Source organism: Homo sapiens, chromosome 7 (assembly GCF_000001405.40).
Source record: "Homo sapiens chromosome 7, GRCh38.p14 Primary Assembly".
Lineage (NCBI taxonomy): Eukaryota > Metazoa > Chordata > Mammalia > Primates > Hominidae > Homo > Homo sapiens.
The window spans coordinates 3958712-3970956 of NC_000007.14; the positions used below are offsets into that span (position 1 = coordinate 3958712).

General features: G+C 46.8%; 1 protein-coding gene across 5 annotated transcripts in view, besides 1 other annotated feature; it reads left to right on the forward strand.

Moving 5' to 3' along the window:
• Nucleotides 1–12245, forward strand: part of SDK1 (sidekick cell adhesion molecule 1) — a 967749-nt gene that overhangs the window by 657460 nt on the left and 298044 nt on the right. For all 5 annotated transcript variants that reach the window (NM_152744.4, XM_047420038.1, XM_047420037.1 and 2 more), the window contains 4 exons: nucleotides 220–303; nucleotides 3946–4140; nucleotides 8607–8723; nucleotides 10546–10713. In NM_152744.4, coding sequence (NP_689957.3) covers nucleotides 220–303; nucleotides 3946–4140; nucleotides 8607–8723; nucleotides 10546–10713 — 564 coding nt within the window. The remainder of the gene's footprint in view (nucleotides 1–219; nucleotides 304–3945; nucleotides 4141–8606; nucleotides 8724–10545; nucleotides 10714–12245) is intronic.
• Nucleotides 9568–10767: an enhancer, noted in NCBI's record as "BRD4-independent group 4 enhancer chr7:4007911-4009110 (GRCh37/hg19 assembly coordinates)". NCBI's record gives its function as "activates an origin of replication core promoter dependent on BRD2, P300/CBP, MED14 and CDK7 cofactors, and independent of BRD4, by STARR-seq in HCT116 cells {active_cell/tissue: HCT116}" and the evidence as "EXISTENCE:reporter gene assay evidence [ECO:0000049][PMID:35650434]".

The following is a 12245-nucleotide window of genomic DNA, read 5'->3' on the forward strand; positions in this document are numbered from 1 at the left end:
GTAGCCATCACCCTGAGTAGTAAGTTGCTTTCTGAAACCCCAGACTGTAAATTGCCTTTGGCCTGTGCTCACTGAGTTCTGAGTTTGTATGCACGATGCTAACTAATGATGAAATTTTCAAGAATGGTTTTTAAGAGGAGCCCACACTATCTTAGGTTATATGGTCTCTGACATATCCTTCTTTGGCTTAGGGGCTTTTTTTTATTTTCTTGTTTGAAGAGCCACCATATTTTACTGCTGAGCCCGAGAGTCGGATTTCAGCTGAAGTAGAAGAAACTGTGGACATCGGATGTCAAGCCATGGGTGAGTGCAGAGTGGCTGCTGGACAAGGAGCCATGACTGGGAGGAAGGGAAACAACCTTTTTCCATAGCAGAATTGCCATCATTCTAGGGAGACATTGAGTGTGATGGCGAAGAGCAGACTTCAGAGAGTAGATCGGTCTTGGGGCAGTGACTGTGGGTAAGGCATTTGACTTTGCCAAGCTTTTGCTTCCTCCCCTGCGAAACAGAGATGATACTATTTACCCAGCAGAGCAAAAAGGAAGCCCACATCTACCCCAGACAGAGAGGGGACTCCATCATATCCTGTGGACTCCCCTTCCAAGGCCCTGACTTCACAAGTGTGTGACCCCCCGAGATTCGGGGCAGAAAATTCTTTCTCATCCATGGGGTGACTAGGACTGGTGAGCACAGCCACTCTAGAAAGGGAGATGGGTGTACATGTATTTGTAGTAGGTACGTGAGGTACAAGGCAATTTTGTTCCACTGATGTATTGCACAGTGGTGAAGCCAAAGCTGGGAGTGCGTCCGTCACTGGAGTGATGTACCCTGTACCCGTTAAGTAATTTCTCATCGCCCACCCCACACCCTTGTGAGTCCCCATTGTCTGTCCTTCCACACTCTGCATCCATGTGCACATGTGACTTAGCACCCACTTATTAGTGAGAACAGGCAGTCTTTGTCTTTCTGTGTCTGAGTTCTCTCACATAACTCAGTGGCCTCCGGTGCCATCCAGGTTGCTGCAAAAGACACCCTTTTATTCTTTTTTGTGGCCGAATAGTATTTGAATAGGAAATGTTACCTTTTTTTTTTTGCCTTTTCAGCTCTGGGTCCCCTTTTCCTTTGCCATTCAGGTCATCCCAGCCCTCATCCCCATGCTTCAATTACAAGCTGCCCACTGTCACCGTCTCATGTCGGGCAGCACAGGTGATTACACAAAACCTTCTAGCAGAGACAGGCTTGTCAAGGCAGTTTCGTTAAGAAAAGCTGTGTTTGTATTCTGGCAACTATCAGGAAACGAAAAGGATCTTTTCTCTTTTGTTTATACCCATCCGTCCTAAGGATAGTATTTTCTCCTACTCCCTAAGAGCTCGGAGGGTAAGAATGACTACCAGTTTTGCAAATCTTCAAAACAGCTCCTAAAAGAGAGATGATTTTCACTGTACCACAGGAAAACCAAGCCCTGGAAAGCATGGTTAAGTACAGTGCCAAAGGCACTGGGCCACTCAATGAAATGGGATCCTTCTCTGGTGAAGTCATTGCCCAGTGTGTGGCCTGTGGAAGTTACTCATTAAATACTGGGTACCTAACTTACCTAGGTCCACATGGTAATGGAGGCAGGACCCAAACGCAAATCTGTCAGCCACCAAAGCAGCCACCTGGCTCTTGCCAGAACACTAGCTTCCCCCAGGACCTGAAGCCCTGGACTTAGAACAAATGCCATTTGTCCATACCTGCAACTGTGTGGATGCCATTTCTTATTCCTGAAAATGGTGTGTCACCCTTCCAGTGCTGTGCCACCCTTCCGGTGCAGCGGCGTGTCACCCTTCCAGTCCTGGTGGTAGAGGGAAAGATCAGCCTCTGCCCACAGACCCCCTCCCGACCCACCGTGCTTTGTAACCACTGCTCCTGGCCCGGGACTTGGTTCAGTAGGAGTTCTGGTCCTCAGCTCCTGACCAGCTCACAGCGGCTGCTGTCCACGGCTCTGTTCTGTTTCTGTTCTTCTCTGTTCCAGCTCTACTGATTCGGCATAGGGGAGGGGGAAAAAGTGTGAGAGAAGAGTAAGACGAATTTTACGTGGAATTATCTTTCTTACAGTGGTTGCATTGTTCTTTCTTGTGTAGGTGCCAGCTTCTTAAGGCCAACAACTCTGTGAATGTGAAGCTATAAAATATTTAGCGAGCTTATATTTCAGAAATAAGAGTATACAATACTGCGGGGGATAAGATTTCTGTTATGACATTAAATTGCCCCAAAATAGAAATACTCCCAGTTCCCTATGTACTAACAATTATTTTTCAACAAATGACAATCTTAAACTCCCTTTGACAAGAGAAAGCTCTGTTTTTTTGCACGACTTCTGCAGGGTAAACTGCTTGTTAAGTGTAGACTTACAAATATAGAGACAACAGATCTTCCGACATTGCACTGCTGTCATATAATTTACTGCTTTCTTTTCATTTTGACAGTGAAACTATAGCAGCATGCGAAGTGGTTATTCCTTATGAAAGTGACATCATGTAACTGCTATTATGAGATATTACATGAATTGGTTATGCTTTTACCTTGAAATGGATTTTTTAATATTTCCTGACTTAATGAAAAGTGACAGGAAACATAATTAAGGCAAAGAAGAGAATCTAGGAAGACATTATCTTGAGTTATTCCATGGCATTAACTTTATTTATTAAAGTCGACATCTCACACCTACCCACACGCCATCTTAAATCAAGGGATTTTGGTGTGCTTTGCACTGAAGCATGTCAAGATATGTTTTTTATTTAAATCCACTTTCTCTTTAGGGAAACTGAGGTACAGAACCATCTGAGATCTAGAGCTAAGTGTAGATATGCCTCATGGAGCGAGGCAGCTTTTCCTGTATCCACAATGGAATACCTCTTGTGCCTCCTCCTCGACCCTTAACAAGGTTACTTAACCTAACAAATTGCTCCTCTGAGACAGTAGAACTCCATGAAGGCCCATGATATCCAACCCCTTTGATAGGGGGTGTTAAAAGATGGCACTCATTTTCATTGTTAGCTGTTGGGATGAATAGTGATACTGCCATTGAGCACTCACCAGGTGCCGGGCATGAGTTTTATAAATACATATGTAAATGTACACACATGCACATATATGCACCACCTCACACAGACACACATAGAAACACATGTACACATATATGCAGGTGCACATATACATACACAGATGTACACACACATATACACACACGCACATGTATACGCATACACACATAAACACATGCACATATATGCACAAACACACACACATACACACATGTAAACACGTAGACACATGCACATATATACACACATGTACACGTGCACACACTCGCATGAACACATGCACATACATATACACACACATGCACAGACACACAAACACATCCAATCTTCAACCTTCTGAAGTCACAATTATCACTAACCTGCATGTGAGGAAACAGACAAAGAAAGGGACAGGTAATGTATTCTGCCCAAGGTGACACTGTCCGCGAGGCATGGACCTGGGATGTGGCCTGTGTCCTGTCCTCTGCCCCTATGACCCTGTGCCCAAGCCCTCCCGCGGTGGCTGAGTAGGGCACTGCAGAGCAGAGAGGGCTTCATCTCCATCTGAACCTTAACCTGACTCTCAGCTGGAATCTCCTTTCCAAACAAGAGCATGAGCCTGTGTGGGTTCGGAGTGGAGCCTGGAAGGCACCGCAGCCAGGGCGGCCACAGTTCATGCCAGCTGTTCCTCTCAACACCCCTCCGTGTCGATGGCTTCATCTACAACGAGAAAAATAGCTCCTTATAGGGTGGTTGAAAGCACGAATACACAAGAAAATGCCTATTAAAATATTGGCATTCTAGCCTTTGAAACAGATGTGCTTCAGTTCTCACGTCAGGAATTATTTTTAAAATCCTATTTATTCCCATTCCTACGCAGGGGTCCCCCTTCCCACCCTCCAGTGGTACAAGGATGCCATCTCCATCAGCAGGCTCCAGAATCCTCGATACAAAGTGCTCGCCAGCGGAGGCCTGCGCATCCAGAAGCTGCGTCCAGAGGACTCCGGAATCTTCCAGTGCTTCGCCAGCAATGAAGGAGGGGAGATCCAGACCCACACCTACCTGGATGTAACCAGTGAGTACACCCAGGCCCACAGCTACCTGACCTGGACGTATCCAGTGAGTACACTCAGCCCCATGGCTACCTGGATGTAACCAGTGGGTACACCCAGGCTCACAGCTACCTGACCTGGACGTATCCAGTGAGTACACTCAGCTCCATGGCTACCTGGATGTAACCACTGGGTACACCCAGGCTCACAGCTACCTGACCTGGACGTATCCAGTGAGTACACTCAGCCCCATGGCTACCTGGATGTAACCAGTGGGTACACCCAGGCTCACAGCTACCTGATCTGGACGTATCCAGTGAGTACATTCAGCCCCATGGCTACCTGGATGTAATCAGTGGGTACACCCAGGCTCACAGCTACCTGACCTGGACGTATCCAGTGAGTACATTCAGCCCCATGGCTACCTGGATGTAACCAGTGGGTACACCCAGGCTCACAGCTACCTGACCTGGACGTATCCAGTGAGTACATTCAGCCCCATGGCTATCTGGATGTAACCAGTGGGTACACCCAGGCTCACAGCTACCTGACCTGGACGTATCCAGTGAGTACACTCAGCCCCATGGCTACCTGGATGTAACCACTGGGTACACCCAGGCTTACAGCTACCTGACCTGGACGTATCCAGTGAGTACACTCAGCCCCATGGCTACCTGGATGTAACCAGTGGGTACACCCAGGCTCACAGCTACCTGATCTGGACGTATCCAGTGAGTACATTCAGCCCCATGGCTACCTGGATGTAATCAGTGGGTACACCCAGGCTCACAGCTACCTGACCTGGACGTATCCAGTGAGTACATTCAGCCCCATGGCTACCTGGATGTAACCAGTGGGTACACCCAGGCTCACAGCTACCTGACCTGGACGTATCCAGTGAGTACATTCAGCCCCATGGCTATCTGGATGTAACCAGTGGGTACACCCAGGCTCACAGCTACCTGACCTGGACGTATCCAGTGAGCACACCCAGGCCGACGGCTACCCAGATGTATCCAGTGGGTACACCTAAGCTCACGGCTACCCGGACATATCCAGTGGGTACACCCAGGCTCACAGCTACCTGACCTGGACGTATCCAGTGAGCACACCCAGGCCGACGGCTACCCAGATGTATCCAGTGGGTACACCCACGCCCACGGCTACCCGGATGTATCCAGTGGGTACACCTTGGCCCACAGCTACCTGGATGTATCCAGTGGGTACACCTATCAGCAAAGCCAGACCTGCTAGACTGGGCCTTCAAGGTAGAACTTCCCAAAATTTGCTCCATGTACTACACACAGAAAATGGTAGTATCTGTTCAGCCCCCTGAGGTAAACAGAAGGGGTAATGTGGCCAGAAGTGGGCAGACCAGGAGAGCCAGCTCTCAAGCACACCTGAAGCCTTTGTGGGTCCTGTGGGGAAACTGCTGAGGCCCACAAGCAGCACAGACGGCTGTCACTCCCCGGCCCTAGTACCCTCCTCTTCTCAGGGTAGCGTTGCCTCTTCCCGCACTAAGCCCTCCTCTTTCTTGAGGAGAAGTAGAAAAAACTCCCTTATTTTCTGGGCAGAATTGGAAAGACTATTGAGTGAATAGATCACTCCTAATCTTTTTCTTTTGATCTTTTTTTCCTATTTTTTACATTCATTCTCTATTTTACTTTTATTGAACAATTGTAGTTCTTTTGTGAGTTTCTTTTATTATCCCATTAACAGAAATACCTTGGCTCTCTGTCTTTGAAAAATAAACTCAAGGTAAAGGTTTTCATTGTTTCTGTGGGTTTTCTTTTTAATCTTCCATGGTTGTATAATACTGTTCTTCTAAAATGAAGTAGAATCTAGTGATTATGGAATTATACCTTTTGTGTTTGCCCTTTCGGGAGCAAAATGCTGATATCCTCAGGGGTGAGAGCTGTTGGAGAGAGCAAATCAGTGTCACTGTGTGCACAGCCAAGGGCTCTTCCCACCCACAGCCTGCAAGGAGACTGACCAGGTGTGTAGCAAGCTGTGCATGTGTTTCGGTGAACTAGGGGTCCCTTCCTTGAATCTTGCCCTCGGGTCAAATTTGTCTTTCATTTTGGAGCTTAGGAAACCAATATTGCTTCAAGCAGTAGAAATAATATGGAATGCTCAAGTCAGAACATGAGTCTTGATTGATTAGAATTATTTGAAGCCTATCTTGCAATCGTGAGCTGGGACGTTCTTGAGCAGGGATTGACAAGCTTTTTCTGCGAAGGGCCTAATGGTAGATATTTTTGGCTTTGAAGGATGTGGCCTACTCAGCATTGCTGTAGTAACCTAAGAGCAGCCACAGTTCTCAGCACATGCGAGTGGCTGTGTTCCAATAAAACTTTATTTACAAACACAGGGTGCAGGCTGAATTTGGCCCCCAGGTTGTAGTTTGCCAATCTCCATTCCAGTGAGAGACTTAGGAATGAGAATAAAAAAGAACCCAGAGAACATCTCTGGGTTTCTCTCAGCCTCAGTTTTCTCATCCATTAAAATGGAGCTAACCAAACCCAGATTATAGGATTCTCATGAGGGTCAGATTGGAAATGTAAGTGAAAGTGCCACCTGCACTGTTACCACGGCAGTGAGTGAGTGAACAAACAAATCAATGATTGTGATTATGTTATCTGTTTTGTAGTAGGAGGTTTTTTGCAAAATGAGTTTTTTAATTAAAATACCCTTAATGAAAGGAAAATGTGCTTTAAAAAATCGATATTGATTTGCTCATTTAGCAAGCGGCTGCTGAGCATCTGTGTCGGGCACTCTGGATGAGGCTCTGGGGACACGGCTGTGAGGAAGACAGGTGAGGTTCCTGTGCTTCCAGGACAGAGGGTCTGCAGGGAGGAGAAAGGCAGTGAAGGACGAGATGACTCCAGCCAGCCAGGGGTGCTGCAGAAAAGGGGAGCAGGTGCGGTGGCATATTGAGCCGGGGCCTCCCCCAGACAGTGTGGCTGCCGGGTGGGGCTTCTCTAGGAGAGATTTAGAAGGAGCAGGAGTGTGAACTCTTGGGGACATGCGCATTGCATGGGCTGGAGGGGACATCAGGTGCCTTGGAGGAGCAAGCTCGGCATGTGTGCAGGTGAAGGGAGGCGGATAGGTTGGGGCTCAGTGACAAGCAGGGTGGCCATGACGGGCTGGAGGGTGGAGGGATAGGCAGGGGCAGAGGCCGAGAACAGGAGGAGCCTCGGGAGCTGCGAGCAAGCAGAGAAGGGACATGAAAGCCTTTGTAGCTTTCAAAGGGCAGCCCAAGGCTGGCTGCCTCAGGGACCCTGACACAGGCACAGAAGTGTTGAGACCTGTTAGGGGGCCTGCGGCATCTGGCAAGACCTGGACTCGGGTGGTTGCCTGCGAGGTGGAGAGACAAGGTCAGCTTCAGGAAGGGCCTTGGCAGTGAAGTTTCTGGGACTTGCCATGGTCCATGGGATTCTCAGCAGGTGCAGGCAGAGGCGGCGGCTGTGCCCTGGGTCCCGTGAGGTCTACTCACTTCTTTCCTTGAGGGGTATCAGCCCAGGGACCCTCACAGAAGACTTGAGAGACACAGATCACTGTTGTACGGGGGGTTCCGGTTAATCGTTATTGGGTAGCACAGAGTTAGGCGAGCCCTCGCTGAAGCCATCAGGAGCTCCTCCTGTCTTTCCTCGGTCTGACTCAGGGCTGCTCGGGGCCGTGACCATCCCCCATGAACAAGAAGAAACCCAGCACTTGGGGATCATGACACCTCCCAGAAATGTATCTTTATGGAGGTCTTTGAAACCTGGTTATTTTAACTCTCAGAACAGATCCTAGAAAGCATCCTAGAAAGTGTCATCTTGTGGATGACATTTTGTATTCAATAATTAGCTTTTTTTTTTGTTTTTGTTTTTGAGATAAGGTCTCACTCTGTCACCCAGGCTGTAGTACAGTGGCACGATCATCACTCACTGCAGCCTCAGCCTCCTGGGCTCAAGCGATCCTCCTGCCTCCACCTCCCAAGTACGTGGGACTATAGGCCTGCACCACCATGCCTGGCTAATTTTTCATTTTTGGTAGAGACAGGGATCTCACTGTGTTGCCCAGGCTGGTCTCAAACTCCTGAACTCAAGCAGTCCTCTTGCCTCAGCCTCCTGAAGTGCTGGGAATATAGGCATGGGCTACCTTTCATTTAAAGAACAAAAGCAGTCTTTTGGCTGATCTAAATAAATGCCTCTCCTCTCTTTAATATTCATCAAAAACTGTTCTTCCTGGGCCCCTGCACGTTTCCACTTGTGTATCTATTACATCGTGACGCTGTATTTTCTCTCCAGGTTGTAAACAAAGATCGGTAACTCCTGGGAGAGGAACAGTGGAGGGCTGCCGTCCCTCCTGAACAGTATTCCTTTTGTATTGCTACAGTTACCTCTGTGATTGGCTCTCTAAAGCCCGTGCAGGATACTCTGCCAGGCTGATGTGAGCCTCTCAGGAACAAGGCCCTGATCATTTCATTTACTCCTCTTCTCAGATATCGCTCCAGTGTTCACCCAGCGGCCAGTGGACACCACAGTTACTGACGGGATGACAGCCATTCTAAGGTGTGAGGTGTCCGGGGCTCCCAAACCCGCCATCACCTGGAAAAGAGGTGGGTAGCATCCACTGCCCACAACAGCATGGCCCATGTAGAACATAACCTATCGGGCCAGTGCTTGCTTCTTATTCACTCTCTTGTTTATTCACTTATGCATTCACTCAATGAAGATTAAATAACTCTTATTGCAGCAGTCCCCAACCTTTTTGGCACCAGGGACCTGTTTCTTGGAAGAGAATTTCTCCATGGTCTCCAGTGGGGGCTGATGGTCTAAGGATGAAACTGTTCCATCTCAGATCATTAGATTCTTCTAGGGAGTGTGCAGCCTAGATCCTTGGCATGCATAGTTCACTGGAGGGTGTGCGTTCCTATGAGAATCTAATGCTGCTGCCGAGCTGACAGGAGGGGGAGCTCAGGCAGTCATGCACGGTGGCCACCGCTCACCTCCTGCTACGCAGCCCAGTTCCAAACAGGTCTGCAGCCCAGGGCTTGGGGACCCCTGATTTACAGAATGCCTACCAGGTGCAAGATACCATGGGCACAAGGATAAATAGGACAGACAAGATCCCTGCCTTCTAGAAAGGGAAACACACATTAGAAAAAGAGAAGGATTGTGCAAATGTCACTCTTCTCTATCCACGCCCTTCAGAGAGTGCCTCAGGCCTCCTCGGGCCTTACCGTGTCAAGGACTGGATGTGAAGTCACTCTGCTAGCACTCACTTTTCCCACTGTTAAGTGGAGCTCTTCCTTGTGACATTCAGAATTAAGGATCACGGCCTTTGTTTTGTTGAAGAAAGATGCTTCCAGGGCCACATCGTTCCGTGCCTTCTGCAGTCAACCTGGGACGCTTCAGCCCACTGTGGGTTCAGTTCCTGGGAAGGCTGCCTTTGCAGTTCCCATAGCCCGTTCCATGAGGGCCACTGAAGGAACAGCACACAGAGTCCATCCTGAACAAGTCTGTGCTTAGCCTTGTTGATTCACATGGATGAGCTCCTCATACTTGCTGGGCTGTATCGGGCTGACATGCCAAAAGCCTTATCTTTCTCTTCCTTCTGGAAAACCACCTGGCAGCTTCTCGACTCTCAGAGGTACAACCCCTGCACTCAGACACAGCTCCTAAAGATCTGGGACACTACAGATCAATAACAGGGCTGGGCTTTTATTCTCTCTTGTTTTCCTGCCTAATTTTGAACATAATAGCTTTATATAAAAATGTTTCAAATACATGCAGATATAAAGAAAACTAAAAACCGATCACCCAAACATAGCAATCACGTTCATGGATCATAATTTGTTTAACCAAATCTCTAAATATTGAGCAAGTAGGATGTTCTTGGTTTTTGTTATTCTAAACAGTGCTAGCAGGTACTGCTTCAGTTATTTCTTTTCCTACAATTTTCACTTTATTCTGATTATTTCCTTAAGTTATTTCTTTGTTGTATTAGTCCACTCTCACACTGATATAAACACATACCTGAGACTGGGCAATTTACAAAGAAAAGAGGTTGAATTGACTCACAGTTCTGCATAGCTGGGGAGGCCTCAGGAAATCATGGTGGAAGGTGAAGAGGAAGCAGGCGCATCTCACAAGGCTGCAAGAGAGAGAAAGAGCAAAGGGGGAAGTGCCAAACAGTTTTAAACCATCAGATCTCATGAGAACTCCCTCACTATCAGGAGAACATCACGGGGGAACCACCCTCAGGATCCAGTCACCTCCCACCAGATTCCTCCCCCGACGTGGGGATTGCAATTCGAGACGAGACTTGGGTGGGGACACGGAGCCGAACCATATTACTTGCTTATGGCTCTAACCACTATCTTCATTTCCTTCAAGCGTTACGACTGTAACATGCCTCTTTTCTCCACTGTTCTTTAGAAAACCACATTCTGGCCAGTGGCTCTGTCCGGATTCCTAGGTTCATGCTTCTTGAATCGGGGGGTCTACAGATCGCGCCCGTCTTCATCCAGGATGCCGGCAACTACACCTGCTATGCGGCCAACACAGAGGGCTCCCTGAATGCATCGGCCACGCTCACTGTGTGGAGTAAGGAGCAGCCCTCGCACGTCGGCCTTCTGTTAGCCACGGTTTAATCATCACGTCATCGTGTGCTTTGGGGATGTCAGCATGCCCTTGGGCTTGCTAATTTAATCAAAAGAGAATGATTATTTTTACAACTAATTTATAGAAATCTGTTGAGAAATTAAATTTTCAATGTCTAAAAGAATACCTAGAAAATGTATTCAGAGATTTAATAGGGGCATTGCAGGAGAGACGAAAGATTGACTTTGTAAAGTCAGTGGAGATATTACACAAAACTAGCTCAAATCACAAAATTGATAGGTTGGTTAATTTTATAAGCATTTTATAAGAAAATTAAGAATTAAAATCCTAAAGAAGTAATATTTTGCTAAACATTTGTTAGGGACAACTAAAACACTTCTAATACACTAACCATCAATGTTTCTTGTATGTTAGGAGTGAACTGAAAGAAAATCTTCCGCTTTTGCTAAACAATTGTTAGGAACAACTAAGACACTTCTAATATACTAACTATCAATGTTTCTTGTATATTAGGAGTGAACTGAAAGAAAATCTTCAGCTTTTGCACTTTTTAAAATCAAGACACATTTTGGAAATGCAGAGTAGTTTTCTGGAGCTTAAGGATTGGACCAAATGGTCCCCCATTGCCACTTTTTAACTTCAATTGCCAATACACTTTCTCCTCTCTGTCTCATCTCAATCTGTACTACTAAAAACTCATATTCAAAAAGCAAAAGAATGCTCACTCAGATTTTTACAAATCTATCTACATGAGGAGAGAAAGTTTTAACTTGCTTGAGGGAGTAATTTGTTGAAACGTTATTCTTCCAGAAAAAGTAAATCATTGTGCTTCATTTCATATTTGTCTAGCATTTTCTATCATATGGTTGGTGTCCACTTTGATAAACGACTCTTCCTAATTTGTAAAATGATCATGCGTTTAAAGGAAATTAATCCAAGTTCCCACTATTCTGTCAAGTACTAAAAAGCAGCTTTTGTTCCATTTGGTGGATGACTCTGTCAGCCACTTCGTTCATTCTGTATCCCTAAATAGTAACCATACATTTAACCCATTTATGCCTGAGGTTGCAGTTTTTTGAACTTTTGTAATCAGAACTTGGCGATGACCTTGAGCAGTAGGATATTAAAAAGCTTATGAAAAAGTGGTATCTGAATCTCTGTAGATCATTCGCCAGAAAATTTTGTGGATCTGCTGAGATTCAACATTATAGCGACACTAGCCTGACTGGGATAACGCTTTGGTGGCTTTACAGAACATTTTCACACACTCTGCCCACTTTAACCTGTACAACTATTAGTGACGTAAGCATTCCCTGCCATAGCCAGGAAAACTAAGATGCAGAATTGTTTTTCTGGACTCACCATTAGCAGAGGTCAGGCTTGCCCTCGAACTTAGCCTTGTGACTCCGAAGTTCTGGGCTCTGTTCCTGGAAGCAGAGCAGGTCCCCCTTAGAGGTATGGGTGCTACAGTGACCCATCGCACAGGCAAGCTGGGGGTCCCCATCCCGTACTGG